General features: G+C 36.6%; 1 protein-coding gene across 41 annotated transcripts in view; it reads left to right on the top strand.

Moving 5' to 3' along the window:
* Window positions 1–26,451, top strand: part of ESRRG (estrogen related receptor gamma) — a 634,457-nt gene that overhangs the window by 245,354 nt on the left and 362,652 nt on the right. The window lies entirely within an intron of this gene.

The raw sequence follows: 26,451 nt of genomic DNA, 5'->3' as shown, positions 1-26,451 counted from the left end.
CCCTTAAAACTGCAAAATAAACAGATCTCTAGGGAGAGGGTCTCCTTCTTGGTAGGCATGCCTGATATATTTGCCCCTAAAGTATCATATTCTAAGATCAGAGTTTAACATTATGTTCTAATTATCTGAATGCCATAAGGGGCACACTAAGTTTTCCATTAAATAATGTTTTCTTTTATTCATTATATAACTTCAAATTTAAATACCTGCTCACAAAGAATCTACTTGCTTAAAAGTGAGCACCAGCCAGGCACGGTGGCTCATGCCTGTAATCCCATCACTTTGGGAGGCCAAGGCAGGAGGATCACAAGGTCAGGAGTTCGAGACCAGCCTGGCCAACACAGTGAAACTCCGTCTCTACTAAAAGTACAAAAATTAGTCGGGCATGCTGGCACATGCCTGTTGTCCCAGCTCCCAGCTACTCGGGTGGCTAAGGCAGGAGAATTGCTTGAACCCAGGAGGTGGAGATTGTGGGGAGCTGAGATGGTGCCACTGCACTCTAGCCTGGGCAAGAAAGCAAGCCTCCATCTCAAAAAAAAAAAAAAAAAAAAAAAGCGGGCACCACACTAAGAGTATATTTGTTTTCCTTAAAAACCTCCTCTTCTTTCTTGATAACTTTATTTCCTCTGCCCCCTAAAAAAGGTCTCCATGAATAAATTCTAAGAGACTAAGATGGAAACTTTATTGACAGTATACCTGTTAGTTGACCCATGTTTTGCTATCTCTATGGTACGGGTCCTGTCTAGGATCTAAGCTGATGAGCACGAGCAAGTGACTGTTGCCAAGCTTGTGTAGTTTCTCAAGACAAAAGCAGGCTTATTCTTCCAGATCATAAGTGAGCCACCTAATATGTACGTGTGTATGTGTCTGCTCACGTATGTGTGCGTGTGCATGTGCACGTGTGTGCATATGCACGTCCCCATGCATGTGTATGTGTGCAAAGGAAAGGATTTTCTATTTGAGGTTCTGGAGAAAAGTAAGTTTCATTAGTTGAGCATCAAGGAGAGATTCAGCCACAGGATTGATTGTAATAAGCTTCACCGTTTTACTAAAACTCCATTACTTGTTGAGCTATTAAGTGATGAAAAGGATTAAGAGAATGTAAAAAAAATCTAATAAAGATGATAACAGTGGAGCATTTTATAAAATTTGCATGTGAATTTATAATGTTATAATCTGTCGGCAGACAGCGTTGTTCAAGAAAAGGGAAAAACTGTACCATACATATAGGCATAAAAAATGCAACAACAGAGTTTCCGGCCAGGAAACCTTTTTTTCCATATGGGCGTCCATATGTTTTTTCTTGAAATCCATATTTTTGGCCTTGATACCCATATGTTAGCTTTTTGCCCAAATAAGATCGTGTAATCATTCTTTATTATTTCTTCTTCCCTAGAAGTTATTACTCGAAGGTTCAGGAGTTGGGTGGGGAAATTAAATGGACGATTTTGCATAGTAGGGACACAAACATTTAAAAGAAACAGTGCGATAGGAGAGACATGCACACAGTTTTATGTGTTTTTGTGTATGTGTGTGAATTTGTATTTATTTTGAAACTACATGTGTGTTTATTTGGTCTAGGCAAGACTCCCATAGTTTGGGTTTTTATATCACAGGTCATGTGTCCCAGGTTGATGCATCCATGTGTCCATCTAGGCAATGGAGAACACTTTCAGGGTGAGGGCAATAAGGGGATGTATTTGGCTGAGTTTATTCTTCTATACATTGGAATTGCTCAATAAATGTTCACTGTAAAACCCTCATTTTGTTATTTCCAGCCCAACAGGAGCAGTGATAGGGTCACATAATTTATTATATCATAGTGGTCAGTTATATTTAAGATTTCCCCTCTGGACCAAAAACTCCTGAACAATAAAGTTGGAATTGTATTGTATTCACTTTTGCATCCGCAGCTCATAGCTTGTGGCTGTATTCCAATAAGTGACTAGGCTCATTAATCTATCAAAGTTCATTCATAAGGACAAAATGATATGGGCTTTATAAAACACCCCAACTCAACAAATTTTCAAGCAATCAAGTTCAGTTTATTGCAAGCATATATTTATTTTTATTTTTATTTTTTTGAGACAGGGTCTCACTCTGTCACCCAGGCTGGAGTGCATTGGTGCTATCATGGCTGATTGTAGCCTCAACCTTCTGGGCACAAGTGATCCTCCCACTCCAGCCTTCCAAGTCACTGGGACTACAGTCATGTACCAGCACATACAGCTAATTTTTGTACTTTTTGTAGAGACAGGATCTTCCCATGTTCCCCAAGCTGGTCTTGAACTCCTGGCCTCAAGTGATCCTCCCACCTCAGCCTCACAAAGTGCTGAAATTAAGATGTGAGCCACCATACCCAGCCTATTAAAGTCATTTAATGTGGAGATAAGATTGACTTTATTCAATCTGCATGCTGGGCTATCTCCATATAAGATTTCAGTATTTTTAACCTGGTTAAAGTAAATAAAAAGAGACCTTTTCATCTTTTCCTCCACTTTCTATACACAGTAAAATAATTATTATACTTAAATGTCTTCACATATATTCACCTAGAAGTCACTTGATTTATTGAGAATTGATTTATCAGGAAAGCGAAATCAGTGGATATGTGAGATGTCCTACCCACTGAGAAATACTGTTGGCAAACAAAACAAAAAAAATGTTAAAACTATAAATACCTGCTTTTGTGGAAATTGCTAAAAGTGGTGCCCTTTTACTTTTCTGACAGCACCTCATTTGGCTTCCAGAGATTTAGGTGAAATCAGAGTATGGTGCACGATGGGTTTGCAAGGAAGACCAGAATGGAGAAACTCCTTTTATAAACAGATTAATTTCATTTTCCTTCACTGGGGGGATTTTTGCTGTCAGCCACTTTCTATGCTCCTTGTCCTGATAGCCCAGCAAGGTCAGAAGTGGGTGTCCATGGCCTCTCAGCCTCAGGACCTTTGATTGACAGCCTGCTGAATTGCTTTCTGCAAAAAAGCCTGCTGCAGTGTGCCTAGCATGTGCAAAAACCCTCTACGTTGACCATTTCCTAGGCATTTTGGCTTGAAATTTGTGCTTCAGCAACCTTCTTAGAAATGTCCAGTCAGAATATGTGTCAGGGCCACCCCTGCTGGATCTCTCAGTGTGGAGAGTCAGCATTTTGACCCCCTCCCACCAAACTGGAAGGATGTCAGCAATCTTTCGCTTATTACATTCGCAGGGAAACATGCTGAGATAACACTACAACGGCTCAGGGTGTAACTTCAGTTGATAGGCACAGGAAGTAAAAGTTCACACTTCTCAGTTCCAAAGGTTTTAAACTCTGAAATTCTGTCCTTTACCTTTTCTCATTCTTCTGAGGATTGGGATGCAAGGATGAGCTTATTTTAAGATTCCTCAGGGCAGCATTTCATTCCTTGACTCTTCTATTCTTTGCCGCATTACCTCACTGCATTAGTACTTGTATCTCCCTCTGATGGCATCTAGTTTCCTTTCCATTCACAGTGGCTGGGGATCATATCTCTGATCCACTTAGAAACACAGTGAACTCTAGCCCTGAGAACGTAAACGCTTTCTCAGTCACATCTATTGATCTTCGGGGCTCTATTTCTGGATTTCCATTCACACACTCATTTGGCATTGGGGATATTGGCTGTTCCTTTGAGGGGCAAGTGTTAAGGTGGGTGCTAGGAACTAGATAAAGAATATTTCTGTGATTCTGTAGAAGCAAGTTTTGATATAGGTATTGGTGAGAGTCTGTACGAATCCCATGACCCTGTAGGTAAAATGGAGAAAGGTGAACTATAGTAAATTTATCTTGCTGGACATGCTGAAAGAAATGAACACTTAAAAAAAAAGATTTTAACACTATAGTTTATTGAAGCTTGTTATTATAAAGCCTAAGTGTAAAATACATGAATAAATAAGACAAACAAGCAAATAGTCTCAGAAATTTAGCGAATTATTCCTAGATTGAAATTCCTTTTTCTAAAGGACAACAGAGCATATTGCTTTGAAGAGCCTGAGATTACTACAATTTGAAGGTAACACATTTTATGATGCCATAGGAAATAAGGAAAAGGAAGCCCAGAATTGGATTTTAAAAATTCTGCAGCTGTAATAACGAATTGTTGCCATGAGAAAAACACCTAAATTAGAGGAGAGTGACTGTCGGTCTTAATAAGAGGCATACTGGAAAGCCCTTCTTGAAATAGAAGTAAAATAAAGGAAAAATTGCATTGTTTCAGGGCTAATTTGATGAGAGGACCTCAGTAAATTGTGATTGCACAGTTAATAAACCCTAGAGCTTTTTTTAGAAGACAAAATTAGTTGTTTGGTGGTAAAAAAAAAAAAGTCAATTACAAATTGTGTTGTCTTCTTTAACCAATCAGGCAGAGAAACCACCATAACAATGAATATTCAAAGTGAATAGAACTTCACTGCATCTAAGATTTAGCTCCTTTTTGTCACCAGGAGACTGAAAACTAACATTTTTAAATGGGGAAAGTGCTTCTTCTTATGGCTTTAAAGAAATGTTTTCTATCCTTTTTATATGAAAGTTCTATGGAGAGATATGAATGCATTTAGGTATATCTTTTAATACAGTTCAATGATGATGAGTACCTTGTAGTTTTTCAGAGAGAGAAAACAAGCCATTCAGAGGAAGTGGGTAGGAGTTTCAGCATGTGGCAGAAAATTCTAAAGCATTTATGAATAGGTCAGTTACATTAACAAACAGAAAAAAATGGGGTTCCATAAACAGAACCATAGTATACATACTCTTTAAAAAATTAAACAATCATCATCACTTTAAGGAACAATTCCAAGTACATGCCAGGATGTACATGCAATATCATCTTTGTATAAAAGCGACAGCATGTTTAACAACCAAGAGTAAATTTTCCTATTTTTCTTGACCTAATTCAGACATGTACTAGCATAGAGAGTCTCAGAATTTAAAGTGCTTGTGTTCTAATAGTTCTGATAGTTCAAGTTTGAAATCAGTTCCATGAAATTAAAAAGCTATTTTCCTACAGTATGAATGTAATATATATAATTTGGCAATTCCAGGAAAGTTTACTTAACTGATATGTAGCTGAAATACTGTATATATTAAACTGTGAGTCAGCGTGGTTCTGTGGGAGGATCTGGGCTTTTGAATTGGCCAGAACAGAGTTGGAAACTCTACTCTGTATGCTTAATGACTGTGGACAAATTAATTGCCACTTGGACGATCGGTTTTAAATCTGAAAAGTGAGGAAAATGATACTTTCTTAAAGAGTTGTGGATAACTGCCCAAAGAATGAAAGCAGTTGTTATAAGGGGCGGGGCGACGTGGCTCACACCAGTAAATCCAGCCCTTTGGGAGACCGAGGCGGGTGGATTGCTTGAGCCCAGGAGTTTGAGACCAGCCTGGGCAACATAGCAAAACCCTGTATTTAAAAAAAGTACAAACAAACAAACAAACAAAATAGCCAGGCATGGTGTTACACGCCCGTAGTCCCAGCTATTTGGGAGGCTAAGGTGGGAGGATCACCTGAGCCCAGGAGGCCAAGGCTGCAGTGAGAAGAGATCATGCCACTCCACTCAAGCCCCAGTGATAGAGTGAGAACCTGTCTCAATCAATCAATAAATAGAAAGAAAGAAAGCAGTGTTATAAAATATTTGTGGATCCTGGCAATCTAGTAATTAAGATAATGGAAAAACAAAATGCAATTTTTAAGTGGAATAAAAATAGTTGTTAAATGACTTCTTGAAGGAATACAGGCATATTGGAGGATGAGGAAGCTTTTCAAGGCATATTTACAGCACATTCATGGATTATGATGTTGGTATTGCCAATTCTTTACTATACTTTTTTCAAACCCAAAGATGGCTTCTATTTCTTATATGTTTTGTTTGCCATTAGATATATTTCCTCTGTGACTACATCTTCTACTGCATTTAAAATAGTAGACAGTAGCTATCAGTTTAAATGAACATCACCTCACCTTCACCAAAATAGCATTCTTATGTTATCCAGCCAAATAGATCAGGAGATCTGGAATTGTTTTAAGCTCTGGTCAGTTAGGTATACGGAGAGAAAATTCCCTGTTGCAGCTCCAGGTGACCCTACAGGACAGTGCATTGTCTCAAGTGAAATGTAAAATGAAGTGGATGCATATAGTTCAGGTTGGCTGCAGCAGGGTAGGGAAGAAGATCCCAGTTGTGTTCAGCTGGTTGTTCCTACCTAAGGGACACGTCTACTCAGAGATTATTCATACTAGGCTTACTCTAGCAATTCAAAAATAAAAATGAATTACACAACAAGGAAAGTATCTTCAGAAACCCATGACATCAATTGGAAGGTCAAATAGAGGAAAAGGAGTTTTTTTTTTAAAAAAAAGGGACGAAGATGGTTACAGGCTAGAGGTTCTAAGAAGGGATTTTTGTAGGAATGAGGCATGAGTTTGGCCTTAACGAGTAGTGGTTGAACGAGTGGAAGGAAATGGAACTGGGAGTAAGCATAGCTTGTTTTATCTGAGGGAGGGAGGAGGGCCACATGGAGATCAACCTATATGAGAAAAAGATAGCCCGTATATTTGGGGAGCAGCAAAAAATGAAAAATAGCGTCAGAAGACACTAAAGGAAACACAAATATATTTAAAACTTTCCTATGAATCTAAAATGATCTCAGAATATTTTTAAGGAAAATCCCTGGCAAGATGAAATTAAAATTGATGAATAAGGAAATAGATGGAAATCATTAAAAAAAAAACCTTTAAGATTGCATCAACATTCAATAAAAACAAAAATGACTATTAAAAAAAAAATAGTGGGAGAATGGGTGACTTTTCCCAAGCAAAATCTAACTTGGAACCGGGAGCCTTAATTTATAGATGGATAAAATGAAACTGCTCAGACTAGTGGTTCCTCATACTCCACCTGCTCCTCAGCACCCCTCATCCCATGCCTCCTCTCCCCAGACATCTTTAGAAGCCAATCTGTGAAACTCCATCTCATTGTTCTGTACACAGGCATATCCATATGTCTGTAGAGTGAACATATATCCTATTTGTGTATTTTACTATGTACTATATATTCTCATATAGTGTATACCTTATGTGTTCATACATATTTTATATATGATTAAATGAATATGTTAAATGAACACAGATTTTAATATAATTCTATTTTTATTTAAATGAATCAAACATCTCTCTCTTTCTGTCATGTATCTTGCTGCCTTCCTTAAATCTGCTCTGAACCATAAGTCATCTAGCCACTTTTCTCCTCCTACTTGGAATAGTTGGACTATGTGGTGTAGTGATTGATTTATCCTTCCTTTCAGGGACCCAGTACAAGCTGAGAGGAGAGGATTAGCAGAATACAAAGTCATTTGACTTCATCCTATTTCCTGTTCCATAATAGCAAAACATAACACACACACATGCAAAACAAAAACAGAAAAACAAAAGAACAAGGCAGAACATGTGTGTGGAATGTGGCCGGCCTCTTTACATACTGCTGTATCCTGTGGCTGTCACCAATGGTTTTGTTAATTTATTAAGAAATTATTTATAAACCAGAACAAAGCAGCTGTAAACCTCACTGCAATTACAGCAGAGCCCAACACAGAAAGCAGCCAGTCTGTGTTCAGGCATGTTCTAAAGGAGACGTAATGTCCATTTCTCTTTGGATCTTTGACAAAAGGTGCCAGAGAAAGTTGTCTTGTCCTAGACTAGAGGAAACTGAGAAGACTGCTCCAGGTACTGAAGAATGCCCAAAGCAAAGATTTTAGCAGCTAATGAGAAGTTTTGAAGGCCTCTGACAAGCCTTCCCTTTGCTGATATGATTATTCTAAACCTTGAACCCACGAGAAGCCTAAGGAAGTTTCGGGCAGCCACTGCACACATAGACCAAGGCAAATAAATTGATCTAAAAACAAAGATAATGTTATCAGTAGCTGGCACAATGCCTTGAACATAGTAGGCTCTCAGTAAATGTTTCATGAATTGAAATGTGTTTTCTCTGGAATCGTGTGTGTAACAAAGAGTGAATTTGATTTTGTTGGCTTTTGAACATGGCATTTGCCCTGCTATCTAAGTCTTTTTTGCAAATATATCTGTCATGCAGCATGCTGTGTTCTTACTATATATTCATAAAGCAGGAGATTTATGTTTCAGTGTAAAACCAAATTGACAAACCTAGTTTCCTGCAGCAGAGCCTTAAGTGACTTGCTGATGGGATTCTGGAATGTTCCCTCCTAAGCCAAAAGGGGAGCCAAGCAAAGGTAAAACTTTAGGAGAACATAGTCAACAAGGTAAGAAGTTTGGTAATGCTGATTTATAAAGACACTGGAACTTTTAAATGCATACTTTCATTCTGAAGGACTGCAGTGGGGATTTAAAATATGACTATTTAATTTTTTTAAATTACATAAATTAAGTGAACAGCCCATTAGCAGGACGCCATCAGGATCACATGGCCAATTCAGATCAAGTTATATTATCTTGCTTCCAGATTTGAATAAGAATTAAGAAATTACTATTCCAAAGTGGTGTTGGACATTGATCCTCATTTGCAGTGATATTCTTCACAGTAACTACCTGGAACTGACTGCTCTTACAGGCATGCCCCTGAATCTTTGTGGTGCTACCATTAGGGGGTGTATTAGTTGGAGAGCAGCAGCTAATTAATTGTTCTACCTGCCTCTGATGAAACCTTATACTGCAGGGACCTCATGTTGGAGCAGGAAGACATACCTAATGGAAAAGGACTCTGATGAGACAGACTTAGAGCTTTACCTTTTTGTCTACTCCTCTGGATTAAGCTTAAGCTTTATGGCCCCATCGAAGCAATAGAATCTCTCGGATTCCATTCGCTACTGTCTCCCTTCTGTAACCTGTATATTCAAACTCTTTATTTTAAGCAAGTGTTCATGGCAATCACACTGAGCAATGTATCTTTTTTTTTTTTTTTTTTTTTTTTTTTTCTCAGAGAAGTCTCGCTCTTGTCCCCCAGGCTGGAGTGCAATGGCTAGATCTCGGCTCACTGCAACCTCCGCCTCCCAGGTTCAAACGATTCTCCTGCCTCTGCCTCCCAACTAGCTGGAATTAAGGCACCTGCCACCATGCCTGGCTAATTTTTTTTGTATTTTTTAGTAGAGACAGGGTTTCTTTCACCAAGTTGGCCAGGCTGGTCTCGAACTCCTGACCTCAGATGATACGCCTGCCTCGGCCTCCCAAAGTGCTGGGATTACAGGCGTGAGCCACTGCGCCCAGCCTGAGCAAAGTATCTTAAGAGCAAACCCTGCTTAGGATTTAACATGCCTCTGGGTCTGCCATTGTCTTAGCACATTGTTGGTACTCCACATAGTTTAAATAAGGAAAGCGGTAGATTTCGGTCAATATAGACTTATGCTTTTAGAGAGCATTTTTTTTTTTTCAGACAATGATTTCCAAATCGTGACTCTTAAAATAAAAGAGTGAAAATATCAAAACATGATTTCCCTCTTGGACAGCTGACAAAGTATGAAGTGATTAGGTTTCTTATTATATAAACTTGGACATTAAAAATAAAATGAATACATTTTCAATTTTACTGAGATCATTTTTAATGCTACTTTAAAAACTCTATTATTTTTCTTCTGCTTTCTTTTTAGTGTGTTTAAAAGCTACCTTCTACCCCCACCCATTTTCTGCATTGATATTAAGTTTATTATTTCCAAATACAGTTGAAATCCTAACTTCTCTGTGAGATACTCTTGACTACACAAATATATATGTTTATATTGAACAATTCAGTTCTTATAACAACTCACACTTTGCACTTTCCATTTTGATGGTCTTACTGGGACACAGTCTGTATTTTGTTTATTTATTCCAGCATCTAGCATGTTGTTGAGTATATTCTAGGTGCTAGGAATTACTTGGCTTTCCTTTTTTCATTACTTCATTCAACAGTGCTTTGCTGTTCTCCTGAGAAAGTTAATTTGCAAGGCACTCAGAATCCTTAGTCTCTCCACTCAAGGAATTTACACCTTGTTCAGAGCAGTCTGGTGAGCCACAGGAGGATGGATACTCTGGTAGCTGACAAAGCTTGCATTTTGTTTCAAAGCTGATGGACCATCTAAGGAAGTGAATAAATCAAGGAATGTATAGCTCAAGGTCCTGGCTATGCACCCATCACCCACATAACCTTGGAAAAATCACTGACACTCTCTGAACTCAACTACATCATCTGTAAAATGGTGGTTATAATTATAATGCCCACCTGCCCATAACGTGGTTGTGAGGGCTAAACAAAGGTATCACAGGGAGAGTGCTTATGTGAATCAATAAAACACCATACAAAATGTCATTTAGAGGTCAAGTCCAAGCCTATTTTCTTAAGGATTAAAAAAAAAAAAACCCAGTGCATAGCAAACTCATTGCATTCAGAAGACTCATCAGCACAGTTTTGGAATTCTGTACTTTGAAAACATGACAACAGATGCTAATGTATGGGGCTATAAAAGTCAGTTACCAGATGGTTCACAACACATCTTTCCTATTAGATTTATGCCATAAATCTTCATTCCCCTTGAAACATTTGCTTGAATGTGTCCATAACTTTTTATCCTCCTTTCATATATTTGTGTAGTACACATCTGGCTTCCTTAACGTCGGATTATCATTAGGGTCAGGTATTCTTTTCCTTGACCAATATGGTAAAATGAATCCCATTTTTTGTTGTTGTTGTTGGGGGAGCTGGGAGGTAGCAACAGAAGGGTAGGCAAGGATGGTGATGGGAACCCTAGATACATAGAAAAAAAATTTTTTGTTCTTGATTTTTCTTTACTCCTCCTTTCGTATAGCTACCAGACCTGTCTCCCCACCAACCCCTAGCTCCATCCCCACTCCCCCTTAATTTCTGTGTAATATTAGAAGAGGACCAGAGGAAGTTGGTGTGGCAATTCATGGGCACAGGAAATGTAGCTTACATCTGTTAATATCTCTGAAAAATGACTTTCCATTGTTATTGATGCTTGCTAACTATAGTTAATTTCTTCAGATGAGGACGCTATATTTGACAAGCTACCAATCTTTGCAATTATTTTGAGGATAATCTGCATCTGCTTTCTGTAGTCTTTATACATCTGGAGAATATCCTGTCTTAGTGAGGAAATTATGGAATATGTTGAAAAAAAATTGAGGGTTTATTTAGGAACTGGTTCACTCCAATATTTACCAAGATTTTCTTTGGTATCATTTATTCATACTCATTATAAAAAGCATGTAATGTACATAAAAGTAGAAACATTTAAACTTTGCCAGTTTAATTTATGCATTTTTTTCTTTTATGTTGTGTTTTAGGGATTTTCCCCGTGGCTGACTGCAGAACAACTCATTTTCAATTAATATTTATATTTTATCTTTAGGTTCAATTGTTTTAAGGTAGGAAGAGAGCATATTAAAAGGCAATAATTATTCTAGTGTGTTTTCAGTAATAGTGGGTCAGCAATGCTTTTTATCTTTGTAAAATAGTTACAATTTGTCTTTCATTGAAAACTTTTAATATAAATAAGAATATATTTTGAGAATTCCAATTTTTCTCATTTGTGGATTCATACCTCATATTCCTTAATATACTTTCCTGCCATATTTAGTGTTTTACTGTTACAGATTATAAATCAATATATCCAATAGCTTCTAAATTAAATAAAAAGGAGAGAGTAACTGATGTTGGTGTTATAAATGTAAATACTAATATGTTAGGAACATTTACCTGATTAAAGTCAAATGAAACATTAATAAGTGTGTTAGAAAATTATGAATGCAGTGTTGAAACTACATTTGGATATAAGCTAATAAAAACTGGCTTTGTAGAAATCTTTGGGTGGCTGCCTTAATGATGGTATCAAGTTATTTTGCTTTTCAAAGCTTTATATTCCTCATCTGTAAGATAAATGCTAGACAAAATTATCTGCATGGGTTTTGTTTTTAGCATTAATGTTATCAATCCCCTAAATGAGTGTTCTGAAAGTATTTAAGGTGCATGAAAACTTTTTTTTTTTTTTTTTTTTTTTTTTTTTTGAGAGGGAGGCTTGTTGTCGCTCAGGCTGGAGTGCAGTGGCACAATCTTGGCACACTGCAACCTCTGCCTCCTGGGTTCAAGCAATTCTCCTGCCTCAGCCTCCAGAGTAGCTGAGATTACAGGCGCCCACCACCATGCCTGGCTAATTTTTGTATTTTAGTAGAGATGGGGTTTCACCATGTTGGTCAGGCTGGTCTCAAACTCTTGACCTCAAATGATCCAACCGCCTCGAACTCCCAAAGTGCTGTGATGACAGATGTGAGCCACCATGCCCAGCCTAGTTTATCTTTTTAAAGTAGTTTACTTTTATTTACAATAATTTTAAATAAATACACACCTTGTCAATACAGAGGCATTTAAGATGAACAACTATATAGTTCACAAATATAAAGTTCAGGACATCCTAGTTAGTGATGTATTATTGATTTCATTGGTGCCACCAAGATATTTTGCCAGTTTAAATATGGTGTAGCTACACATATGTATACCATATTTGGAAAAGGGCAGTGGGAGATGGAGACAGATTAAAAGAGGGAAGACTGCTGCTAAATTCTCCTACTCTAGAGGGAGGATGATATTGGGATTGAGGTAATAATGGAAGGTAGCCATTTTATTGCTCAGAAAATTCTATAACAGTGCTTCCATTAACTCTCTGGTGATATTGTCACAAAAGGAGTAGAAAAGAAGAAGAGAAATGAAACAGCAAAATAGAGATCCTCTCTTCACTCTGCTGTGTTTGCATTAATGCAGCATCGTGGCAGCTGGTATCTTTTTTAAACTGCCTTTTTCTTCTTCTTCTTTTTTTTTTTTTTTTTTTTTGGTGGCCTTTTTTTCCCCTCAAGAGTAAGCCGACCAGATTTTCACTTTATGAAACTGGGACAGCCTAGCAGGGGATGAGAATTTCCATGAACCATCTTCTGGGGATAATAATATCAGTAATCAGAGACTGTCATGGCAATTGCAGAGAGAGATGAATTGCAGTGGACAGGAAGTCAGCACTGTTTTGTTTGTTTGTTCTTTTGAGAGTGAGTTCAGTGCTCCATAACCATTTACCAAAAAGTTGAGCTTCAGTGCAACCTCCTGTAAACTCTTGAACTCCAAGTTATTTAGAGACAAAGACAGATGGCAAAGCAGATTTGCTAAAGAATTACATAAATGGGCTATATTTCAATAGCTATATGTTCACCTATTTGCCTTTAAAACTAAACTATCCCTGCTAAAGCCAAATTGTTGGTTAAAATCCAGTTTGTCTCATCTCACATGTAGTCTTTGGCCTCCATGCTCACCTAGCGCTTTTTTGTCCATCTACATAGTTGTAATTTAATCTTTTTTATTCAGAAATGTATTATTTGGCCTATTTTGTCTCAGGTACTATGCCGTGTACTGGGAAATATAAGGATAAATACGATGCGTAAATCTGAAACTTATGTGGAAGAATAAAGATCTCCTAGCCATTTATCCATATTTTTATCAAGTTAAAATTTAATACTTTTGCAGTATTTTTTAGTATTTTGAACAGTATTCTTCAACAGCCTATTTTGAACATTTTGAAAAGACAAGCAACCAATAGTACTGAATAAAAGCACAGAGAAACATAAATTGTGAAACGTTTACTAAAGGTGGCACCAAAAAATTAACGGGGAAAAGACAGACTGTGTATTGTTGCTTTTTGAAAATGTTACTACATGGAGGGAAACAAAACTGGGTTTCTTCCTAATGCCTCTTACCAAGACAATCTCCAGATGTATTATAGAGATAAATGTGGAAGGTAAAACTATGAAAGAAATAGAAGAAAATGCAGGAGAATATCTTCATGATCTACAAATGGAAAAGGAGTTTTTTAAATCTCAAAGGCATAAATTAAGGCAGACATTAACTTATTTATATAGAATTTAAGTATGTATATTTAACGAAGAACATATTAAAGTTAATACTCAAGAGAACAAAATAAATTATTTATAGTGCCTAATACTGATGAGGGATTAGTATCTAGTGTATAAAAAGAAGCCTGCAAATTAAGAAGAAAAAGATAGCAATCTCAGTTTAAAAGGTAGGCAAAGTATATGATCAGGCAGTTTACAGAAGAGGAATCCTAAAGAAATAGCTGGCATAGTTAGGGCTTAAACTCATTAAGTGAAATGCAAATTCCAACAACATGAATTAAGTAAAAATTAGAAATAGGTATTATAAAACACCATGTTGGCAAAAATGTGGAAATTTGAGACTCCTCACATAGGTTGTAGAACTGTAGACTGCTGTAGCCAGTATATGCATACTGCATGACCCAGCAGTTTTATTCCTGATATGCCTCCCAAAGAACTTCTCACACTGTCCATGACATACATGCAATGGTGTTTGTTGCAGTATTAAGGAGCTGGTGTGTCCATCACTGGACGAATGGATACATAGAACTTGGTAGGTGTACATGTGGAGTACTGCTCAGAGGTTAGAAGTAGTGGTCTAGGTGTGTACATAGCAAATGTGGATGGATCTGTAAAGCATAGTGCTGAATGAAAAAAATAAGGAAACATAATGGATTACACAACACAATACCATTTACATATATTAAAAACATACATATAGGCCGGGCGCGGTGATCTGCCTGTATGTATGTATAGGCACCCGTAATCCCAGCACTTTGGGAGGCTGAGGCAGGTAGATCACAAGGTCTGGAGTTCGAGACAGCCTGGCCAATATGGTGAAACCCTGTCTCTACTAAAAAATACAAAAAAATTAGCCAGGTATGGTGGTGCGTGCCTGTAGTCCCAGCTACTCGGGAGACGGAGGCAGGAGAATTGCTTGAATCTGGGAGGCAGAGGTTGCACTGAGCCGAGATTGCACCATTGCACTCCAGCCTGGGTGACAGAGTGAGACTCTGTCTCAAAACAAACAAACAAACAAACAAACAAACAAACAAAAAAAAACACCATACCTATAAAAAAGCATTGCATACTTTGCAAGAATACCTAACACGTATGAATGAGAATACTTGCAGTTTTGTGGGAGGGGAATGAGAACAAATATATAACATGAGATGAGTCTTGCACAGACCAATGATGAGGATGGTACAGGTGGTGGGTTAGAGATGATTACTATCCATAAGGAGTTCATAGTATAGTGAATGAGATAGATGAATACATAATCATAATGAAACATGATGAGTACAATTGGGGGATCTGAACAGAGTATTAACATGTATTGCTTTTCTACTAGACTAAGGTTTTCATTAGGGCAAATATTGTTTTGTGGTAATGTTGTTTACACCTTTATTCTTCCATGCTTCATAGATCACACACACACACACACACACACACACACACACACACATTAGTGAAGAGATTCTCGAATCAGACAACACATTAACATTACTTGGGAAAGTTTGAAAAGTACTTTCCTTCATCTTTGACACTATGCATTTGTTTTTGTTCAAGAAGATTCTATTAAAAGGTGTAAAGTATTTAACCAGGGTACATATTGTTTCATGTTGAGCATTTAACATGACTGCGGGTAGGTCAGTGGACTGCAGCCTTATGACACGGTGCTGGTTAAATCTGCTTCAGGTCAGTTATCTCATGACTGAACAATTGGTTCTATGGGTTCTATGAATAATACTGACCATAATCAATCATCTCACAATTTCCAAAACCATAAGATGCAAGTGTACAAATGCCTCAGCATTGATTGATCACCCCTGAAAAAAAAAGGTATGACAAAAATGATATTATCATTTGAAAAAACAAATAAAAAGTAGATTTCCTTTGTGTTGTTTCCACCTCCCTGAAAATATATATTCTAGATACAATGATCAATTGGTCTTTAAGACAAATGGGAATTATACTGGAAGTTTCTGACATTATAACAGGCTTGTGGGGGATTCTTGTTTGGCAGGTTAGGGCCTTTTGAGACTTTCAAAAACATTCCCCAGGCAGCCCCATATATTTCCTTCAGAATGTCAGTAATGAAAGGTAGCTCATAACTTTATATATGTGACTATTTGTTATTTAAAACTTTTCAAAAATGTTTGTAGTACTTACATTTTAAGATCTATTGGGTCTCTTTGAACCATTTAATTAAAGGTTGGAGCACTTGCAGTTAAAAAAATCTTATCAGAAAATAATATTTTAATCTCTCTGTGGGATAATCCAAGATTGTACTGTTCCAGGAAACATATACCTTTATTTTATTTCATATTTTAAGGCTTTTCTTATTTCTTCTATGCCTTCAGCTTTATCAGTTTAGAAGGGAATCTTCCAGTGATTACATTGGTCATAAGCCTGAAGGGCAAGGTTTAAGAAAAGTCTAGGGAGCATTGTCATTATAGTTTTTCATTTTTGCCTGATATCCATTCTAGATGATGATATTTCCCTCTAAATAAGGCTGTTTGTGTCTTAAAAAATACCTTCCTTCTGGAACTGGAACGCTCATATCTGCCGGTGGGAGTGTAGATTGGGAAAACCACTCTGGAAAACTGGTAGTATGTACTAATGCTGTACATATGCATAGCCTGTGACCCAGCAATTTCACTTGTAGGTATACACCCAACAGAATATGCACCAAAAGATACATACGAAATATCTTCATAATATTATTTATAACAATAAAACGCTGGAACAAACCCAAATTTTCATCAACATGAGAATGAAGTAATAAATGAATATAAATAAATATAATATAAATATAGAATTCATATATAGGAATACTATATGGCAATGAAAATCAACCACTGTGCTATATGCAATAAGGTTGGATCTCACAAATGTAACCTTAGGGAGAAGAAGCTAAACATATAACATGCGTTCTGTAGGTTTCTATTCATATGAAGTTCAGACACAGATAAAAATAATCTGAGATATTAGAAGTTAGCATCTTTGTTTACCTTTTGGTACCTTTTGGTTACCTTTGGGGAAGAAGGTAGAAATAGTGATTTAGAGGGTCTGAGGGGACTCTGGGGTGCTGGCGATACTTTATATGTAGATCAGGTAATGGATAAAAAGTGTGTTCACTTTGGGATAATTATTCAACTTCTAAAAGCAAGATCTGTGCACTTTTCTATATAAAACTTAATTTTAAAAAGTTAAAGTGTAAAAAATAAAAGCCAAACACTGTCTTTTTCAGGGCTCGTATTAGGGTTCTCTAGAGGAAGAGAATGAATAGAATATATGTATATACGAAAGGGAGCTTATTAAGGAGAATTGACTCACATGATCACAAGGTGAAGTCCCACCACTGGCCATCTGCAAGTTAAAGATTAAGGAAACCGGTGGTGGATCAGTTCGAATCCCAAAACTTTAAAAGTAAGGAAACCGATAGTGCAGCCTTCATTCTGTGGTCAAAGGCCCAAGAGCCCCTGGCAAACCACTGGTATAAGTCCAAGAGTCCAAAAGCTGAAGAACTTGGAGTCTGATGTTCAAGGGCAGGAAGTATCCAGCATGGGAGAAAGATGAAGGCCAGAAGACTCAGCAAGTCTGCTCTTCCATCTTCTCCTGCCTGCTTTATTCTAGCTGTGCTGGCAGCTGATTAGATGTGCCCACTCAGATTGAGGGTGGGTCCACCTCTCCCTCTCCACTGACTCAAATGTTAATCTCCTTTGACAACACCCTCACAGACACACCCAGGAACAATACTTTACATCCTTCAATCAAATCGAGTTGGCACTCAATATTAATCATCACAGAGTTATATGCTAAAATGATAAAACTATAAAGGGATACAAGAGAATGGTTACCTTTAAGGTCAAGTTACTGATTGCCTCTGTATGGAAGGAAGAAGGCTAGGCATGGAAGACACAAGAGCTTCTCAGGGAATAGTTTGTGTGTTAAGTTTTTAAGTTAGATGAGGGTACACTGGTATTTATTATATTATTCTTCAAACTTTATAGCAGTTTTATTTCTCATATTTTGTGTGCATAATACATTCAGTTTGGAATCTGAAACTTTTTTACCTGAGTTTTGGTTTTGGATATAATGGAATAAGCACAATTCACCCTATGTCTCCTACTGAATTTGAGCTATGAGAGCTGGACAGAATTCAGAGTCACTATGTGAGAATTTTGAAAGGCAAAGAGTAGGAGATCAGAACTGGAAATACCCCTAAGCTTGTAGTGAGTTTATCATTGTTCCCCTTCTGGTAGCTTCTAACTTGATCTCATAGTTGAAACCCAGAAGTGGACAGGGAGAGGTCCAGGAGAAGACCTCTGGTTTGGCTTAAGGAGTGGTAGAGGCAGAGAGTGGCCTTCCTACCTTCCTCCCTTCCTTCCTTCCACCTCTCTCCCTCCCCACTCCCTCCCTCCCAACCCACTCCCTCCCTCCCTCCTTCCCCCTCCCTCCCTCCCCTCCCCTCCCCTCTTCCCCCACTCCCCTTCCCTTCCCTTCCCTTCCCTTCCCTTCCCTTCCCTTCCCTTCCCTTCCCTTCCCTTCCCTTCCCTCCCTTCTCTCCTGTCCGTCTCTTCTTTTTTCTCTGTTCCTTGCACCCAGGCTCCAAGTGCTAACAATGATGGCAACAGGTGCCTACAGGGGCCAGATGTCTGAGGAAGAGGAGACTTCTTCTCATTTCAGTGGAGCTGTGGTCCCAAGAGGGTGGAGCACATCAATGTTACTTTCCCTCTCTGTCTCTGTCTCTCTCCTTGCACTGTGTGGAAAAAATGTGGGCATATGTGGCTGAGTAGGATAACTAAAGCCCCAGATTTCTAGTTGGAGGACTGAAAAGAGGACCCCAAGAAAACAGAAAATTAAGAGAATCCATTGGTTAAGAGCTTGGGAAAAGAACCTCATAAAGATGTTTATGAACTCCTGGCCGGGCCCGGTGGCTCATGCCTGTAATCCCAGCACTTTGATGGGGACTGAGGCAGGTGGATCACCTGAGGTCAGGAGTTCGAGACCAGCCTGGCCAATGTGGCGAAACCCCATCTCTACTAAAAATACAAAAATTAGCCGGGTGTGCTGGCTGGCGCCTGTAATCCCAGCTACTCAGGAGGCTGAGGCAGGAGAATTGCTTGAACCAGGGGGGCGGAGGTTGCAGTGAGCCAAGATCATGCCATTGCATTTCAGCCTGAGCGACAACAGTGAAACTCTGTCAAAAAAAAAAAAAAAAAAAAACTGAAAAGATGTTTATGAACTCCTGGGCTCCCCAGTGGAGTGAGAATCCAATCCTAATTTAGCATATCAAAAACTTCCAGAATTAAACCAACAGATCCACCTGCACCTATGACCATACTGGACACTGGGTGGTGCACACACAGGAAAAATCTGAATAACTGCAAAAACTTTGAAAACTGACCTAGTTTTGAAACCATAGCCATGAGAAGGTCAGTTGGAACTTGTGGACTGAAACTCATCAATTTGATTGGTTGGTAAAACAAAAGTATCACATATTCCATAAGAGTTAAGCAAGACACATAGTCTCAAAACACATTAAAAATGTCCCAGATACTATCTAAAATTATTTGGCCTAAGAAAAACCAGAAAAATTTCAACCTACATCAAGAAGGCAATGAACAGATACGGATGTTTTGAAGATACAGATGTTGGACTTTTCTAACAGCCTTTTGGAGAAACTATTATAAAAATTGTTCCAACAAGCAGTCACAAACACTCCTGAAACAAAGTTAAAGTAGAAAACCTCAGCAATAGGAAATAAGAAATAGAAAGAAAAATCAAATGGAAATTTTAGAATTGAAGAATACAATAACCCACAATAAAAATCTTATTGGGTCTGCTCAATAGGAAAATGGCAATGGAAGAGGAAAGAATCAGTAAACTCGAAAATAAATCAGTAGAAATTATCCAATCTGATAAACAGAGAAAAACCAGACTGAGAGAAAAAATAAACAGTCTCAAAGATGTGTGGGACAATTTTTAAAAAAAAGGTTTAACATTTGCATCGTAGGAGTTCTAGAATGGGATGACAAATAGTGTGGTGCTAAAACACACTTGAAGAAATAATGGCCAAAAAATGCCAACACTAGGAGAAAGAAAATAACCCATAGATTCAGGTTCAGTGAAAATCAAACAGTATGAATCCAAATAAATCCATGTTCAGACACATCATAATCAAAATGCTACAAAAATAAAGACAAAAAAAATCTTGAACAAGAGCAGAGATAAATTATGCATTTCCTATAGAGGAACAATTTAAATGACTGTAGATTTCTCATCAGAAACCATAGAGGGTAGAAGGAAGTGACACATATTTTAAGGTGCTGAAAAGAACTGCCAAACCAGAATTCTATATTCAGCAAAAATACTGCTGAGAAATGAAGGTGAACTAAAGACATCCTCAGATGAAGGAGAATTAAGGGAATTTGTTGCCAGCAAGTCAGCTCTAAGATAATTTCTAAAGGAAATTTTTCAGATAGAAGAAAAATAATACCAGAAGGAAATTTGGAACAAGGATGAAAGAACAGCAAAAGAAATAGTAAGTATTGGGGTACCTATAATAGACAATTCTTTTCCTCTTGAGTTCTCTAAGATCGTTTGATAATTTAAAGCAAAACATTTAACATTGAATGATAGAGTTTTCAATGTATACAGATCTAATATATATGGCAACTACGACATAAAGAGGAAAGGATAAAGGGGACTATAGGATGATAATGTTTCCACATATTGATAAAGGAATCAATTCACCAAGCATATGTAACAATTCTAAATGTGCACTGAAAATACAGGAAGCAAAAACTAACAGAACTGAGAGTAGAAATAGGCAAATCTACAATTATAGTTAGAGACTTCAAAACTCTTCGTTCTGTAATAGTTAAAACTAAGAGAGAAAAAAATCATCAAGACTATAGAAGAACTGAACAACACCATCAACCAATTGAATCTAATTGATATTTTTAGAGCACTCCACCCAGTAACAGGAAAATACACATGCTTTTCAAGGGAGCATGGAACATTCATTAAGATAGACTATATCCTAGTTCATAAAACCAATGTTTAAAATGCAAAAAAATGAAATAATATAAAATATGTTCTCTGACCTCACAAAATTAATGTATAAGTGAATAAGAGAAAGATAGGAAAATGTCTGAACAAATATTTGACAACACATTTCTAAATAATCCATGGTCAAAGATGAAGTCTCAGGGGATTAGAAAATATTTTTAACTGAATGAAAATGAAAATGCACATATTAAAATGTATGTGATACAGCTAAAGCAGTGCTTACAGGGAAAGCTTATAGCATTATATGCTATTAGAAAATAAGAAAGATCTTCAGTTAATACTCTAAGTTTCCACCTTAATAAAATAGAAAAAGAAGAGCTAAATAAACTGAAAGTAAGTAGAATGAAGAGTATACTCATAAAGATATAAGCATAAATTAATAGTTTAAATCAGAAAGACAATAGATAAAATCAGTAAAAACAATGAGCACGGTTTTAGAAATCAACACAATTGATAAATTTCTGGCAAGATTGACAAAGAAAAAAATGAAATACACAAATTGTCAATATCAGGAATAAATAGGGGATATCATCACAGATCCTACAACCATTAAAAGGATAATAAGATAATACTATGAAAAAAATCGATGTAAAGGAATTTGGCAATGTAGATGGAATGAACATATTTTTTGAAAATCATGAAGTACTACCAAGATAACATAGGCAAACCAATACCTGTTAAAGAAATTGAATTATTGTTAAAAATCCTTTTGCCAAAGAAATCTCCAGGCCCAGGTAGTTTCATTGGTGTATTTTACCAAACTATTATGGAAGAAATAATGCCAATTCCAAAAAATTTCCTTCAGAAAATAGGTGAAGAATGAACACTTCCCAGTTCATTTTACGAGGCCAGAAGAGTAATCCTGGCCTCCAAAGAGTAACCCTTGTACCAAAACCAGACAACAAAACAGACGAGAGAGAGAAATACAAAGAAATATTTCTCATGACCATAATGCAAGCATTCTCAATAAAATACTAGCAAATCAAATGAAGATGTAAAATGAATAACATGTAATAACAAAGTGAGGTTTATTTTGTAAACCAGGATTGCAAGGCTGTCTCGATATTAGATATCAATCAATGTAATCCTCCAGAAAAAAAAAAAAAAAGCACATTGACAGGTTTATGTCAATTGATGCAGAAAAAATGTTTGCCAAATTTTAACATCTATTCATGATAAAATTCTCTGCAAAGTAGGCATAGAATGAAACTTCTTCATCTTGATAAAGTCCATCTACAAAATATCTACAGCTAATAGAGTTAATGGTGAAACACTAAATGCTTTCTCCCTATGATCAGGAACAAAGCAAGGATGGTCTACCTACAAAACTTCTATTCAATATTGTACTAGAAGATTATTGGAAATAAATAAAACACAGGCGACTTGATTTTCTAGGTAGAAAATCCCAAGAAAATTCCAAAAATCTCTTAGACATAATAAGTGAATTTAGCAACTTTTCAGGTTACAAGGTTAACATACAAAAATCATTGCATTTCTATATACTAGCAATGTACAATTGGAAAGTGCACTTAAAAAATTTAAAAAAATTATAATAGCTCCAAAAATGAAATATATAGTTATACATTTAATAAAATATTTCCAGGATCTATTGCTGAAAACTACAAATATGGATGCAATAAATCACAGACTATCTAACCTAAATAAATTGAGACATACACTATGTTCATGAATCAGAAGATTCAACAAAGTAAAGATGTTGGTTCTACCCAATTTGATCAATAGATTTAATGAAATTTCTATAAAATTCCTAGGCGGATGTTCTTGTGGACATAGACAAACTGATTCTAAAGTTTTTATGGAAAGGCAAAGGAGCTAGCATAACTGAACTGATTTTGAAAAAGAATAAACTTAAAGGAATCATACTTTCTGATTTTAAGACTTACTATATAGCTACACTAATCAAGACCATGTGGTATTGAAATAGACAATTACCAATAGACCTCAACAAGAATCCAGAAATAAACTCACATAAATATGACCAATTATTTTTTGACAATGGTACAAAAGCAATTTTGTCCTTTCAGCAAATGATGTTGGAAAAACTGAACATCAACAGGGGGAAAAAGTTAAACCTTCACCTAAACCTCACATCTTATACAAAAATTAACTCAAAACTTAAAAGTGAACAAAAATCTAGATGTAAAACATAAAACTATAAAACGTTTAGAAGACAACATAAGAGAAAACTATCATTATCTAGGGTTAGGCAAAAAGTTCTTAAACATGGCACTAAAAATATAATCCATAAAACAAAAAATTGATAAATTGGTCTCCAACAAAATTTAAAATGTTTGCACTCTCACTATTAAGAAAATGAGAGGACAATTCTCTTGCTGAGAGGAAATATTTGCAAAGCACATAGCCGACAAAGCTCTCATAACAAGAGTAAATAAGGAATTTACAAGACTGAGTAGTAAGAAAACTAACAACCTAATTTTAAAATGTGCAAAAGACTTGAACAGACATTTTAAGAAAGGAAATATATGAAATGCATATAAACACATGAAAGGACGTTCAATGCCATTAGTTATGAGGAAAATGCATATTAAAATATTAATGAAATTTATTGCATATCACTAGAATGGCTAGTTTTTTAAAGTGTGACTATACCTAGTGCTGATGAGACTGTAGAGCAACTGAAACTTGCACACATTGCTGATAGAAATGCAAAATGAAACAGCCACTCTGGAAAAGAATTCAGCCCTTTTTAAATACAGTTAAAAGTGATCTACTGTAGGATGCAGAAATCCCACTCGTGGATATTTACATTTGAGAAATAAAAAATGGATGATCACATAAAAATCTGTATATAATTATTTATACCAGCGCTATTTGTAACTGTCCAAAACTGTAAACAATGTGAATGTCCTTCAAGGGTGAATGGATAGATAAACTGTGGTGCATCCATCCAATGAAACACTACTCAGCAATAATAAAGAACAAACTATCTGCCTGGCGTGGTGGCACACAGGATCCCGTAATCCCAGCACTTTGGGAGGCCGAGGTGGGTGGCTCAACTGAGATCAGGAGTTTGTGACCAGCTTGACTAACATGGTGAAACCCCATCTCTACTAAATACAAATAAATTAACTGGGCATGGTGGCGCATGCCTGTAATCCAAGCTACTTGGGAGGCTGAGACAGGAGAATGGCTTGAACCTGGGAGGCGGAGGTTGCAGTGAGCCCAGATCGCTCCATTCCACTCCAGCCTGGGCAATAGGAGTGAAACTCTGTCTCAAAAAAAAAAAAAAAAAAAAAAAAAGGATCAATATACACAACAATTTGGACAAATCTTCATGCTGAGTGAGAGACCAGTCTCAAAAAGTGACATACTGTAGTATCCCATTTTATGACATTCACAAAAAGATAAAATTGTAGTGCTGGAGACAGATCAGTGGTTGCCAGGAGTTAGGGGTGACAGGCAATTGGCCTATAAAGGGATTGCTAGTAGGAGTTTTGTAGGGCAGGGCATTGTTTTGTACCCCGATTCTTGTGATATTTACATTAACCTATTCATGTGTTAAGATTCATAGGGCTGTACACCAAAATAAGTGTTGATTATGCTGTATTATAATTTAGAAAATAAAATTTTTACACTGATAAGAAAAAATAACCTTAGCACCATGGAATTACAGTATAGTGGAGAAGAGGTCGGGGAGAGATGATGGTTGATAAAATAAATGTCTCAAATAAACAGAATTGGACTTGGACTTACAAAGCATGCTAATAAAGATGTTTAGAGTCTTTTTTCTTACAAATTTAAGAATGATTGCTTATCAATTTTTCTGCAGTGAAATAGTTGCTTTCAAATTAACAGGGACCCACAAAGATATGTTATCTTAAGTAGTTAAATATCCCCTACGCAAATTTGTTTCACTATTCATTTACTTACAGGAAACTTTCTTCATGAATATATGAAGAGAAATTTCTGCCCAAACTTTAAAATTATTATAAACTTAAGATAATGACATTTGGGTTGACTTTCTGGTTATTGCTGAGAATTTGGCTGTGTAAAAAGGAGAGGTTAGAAAAATATTATCAAAGCAAAAGGAGAATTCTTTTGATAAGTGATTTGAATTAAATTATATCTCCCTCTCAATTATTTTCTGTGCACACTTACAGTTTCTACAAGATGTTGGACAAGTGATTTTGTTCTGTGCCTCAGTTTTCCCATATGCATAATGCAAAGATAGTTATTCTTGCAGCTAATATACTTCCTGAGACCATGTCAGCATGCACGTTGCATACATACTGAAACAGAAGACTCAAAGGCCTTTGAAGAAGAGCACCAGTATCACAAAGTTTCATCATTTTATTTTTTAAAACCAAATATATCTTTTCATCATTTCATAGTTTGAAGACTGATGAAGAAAATGACAGAAACTTGTAATTAGGGAAATGTAAAATATTTAAAGTTAAAAACTGTCTATGTAGCAGAAAATAAAGAAGAGAGATTACTTTATACTCTCTTTTTAAGTTTGAAAACCCACATCAAAAAATGAAAGAAAATCTAACCATGGATGCCAGAGTTTGAAGACTGTAAGAAAGGCCACGTGGAGGAAGAAATATGGACATACTTTAAGCTGTTTTAAAAGATAAAGAGATTAGCCAGGTGTGGTGGTGAGCACCTGCAGTCCCAGCTACCCAGGAGGCTAAGGTGGGAGGATCACCGGAGCCTAGGAGGTCAAGACTGCAATGAGCTGAGGCCGCACCATTGCACTCCAGCTGAGTGATGGAGTAAGACCCTATCTCAAAGAAAAAAAATAAAAAAAAAAAGAAAGAAAGAAACAAAGAAAGATAAAGATATCATGAGATATAGATATTTCTGCTACATTGGAGAGCTAGTATATATGATTTTAATATGGTTGTTTTAAGAAAGTAGATCTTCCGTAGAAACTAATGTACATGCTTGTTGCTTTCCCCTAAAAAATATATATTTCAATATTGATAAGAACATATATGTTAAATAACAATAAGAGCAATCCTTAAAATGTCATTGTATTGCTATAGTTGCACCATATAAAGGGGATGTACATATGTATGATATTGGATGTGAACACTTCAACTGTGGTCACTTACTACACTGTCCAATAAAATGTGTGTATGTATGTACATGGCTTGTATGGAGAACTGTTTAATAAATATGTTGATTACTTGATAGCATGTTTTACAGTATTACTTTTCATAAAAATGGGAGACATGATATTTGCTGCTGTTAAACAGCATGTTCACAATATTTGCATTTACTGAGCAAGAACTAATGGTAACAGAATTTCTGTGTTAACACAAATATCTGGGCAGCTTATTTCAAGCACAGTTTATAATTATACATTCTAAAGATAAACTGAAGACTCTGCAAAATGTCATGTCTGCTTTTGGATGGCCTTTCCTTAAACATTTTTGTTGGCACTACTATAAAGCGTTAAGACTCTGGAACTTGTACA

This window comes from Homo sapiens, chromosome 1 (genome assembly GCF_000001405.40).
Source record: "Homo sapiens chromosome 1, GRCh38.p14 Primary Assembly".
In the NCBI taxonomy this organism is placed as follows: Eukaryota; Metazoa; Chordata; class Mammalia; order Primates; family Hominidae; genus Homo; species Homo sapiens.
This window is presented reverse-complemented; position numbering and strand designations above follow the sequence as displayed.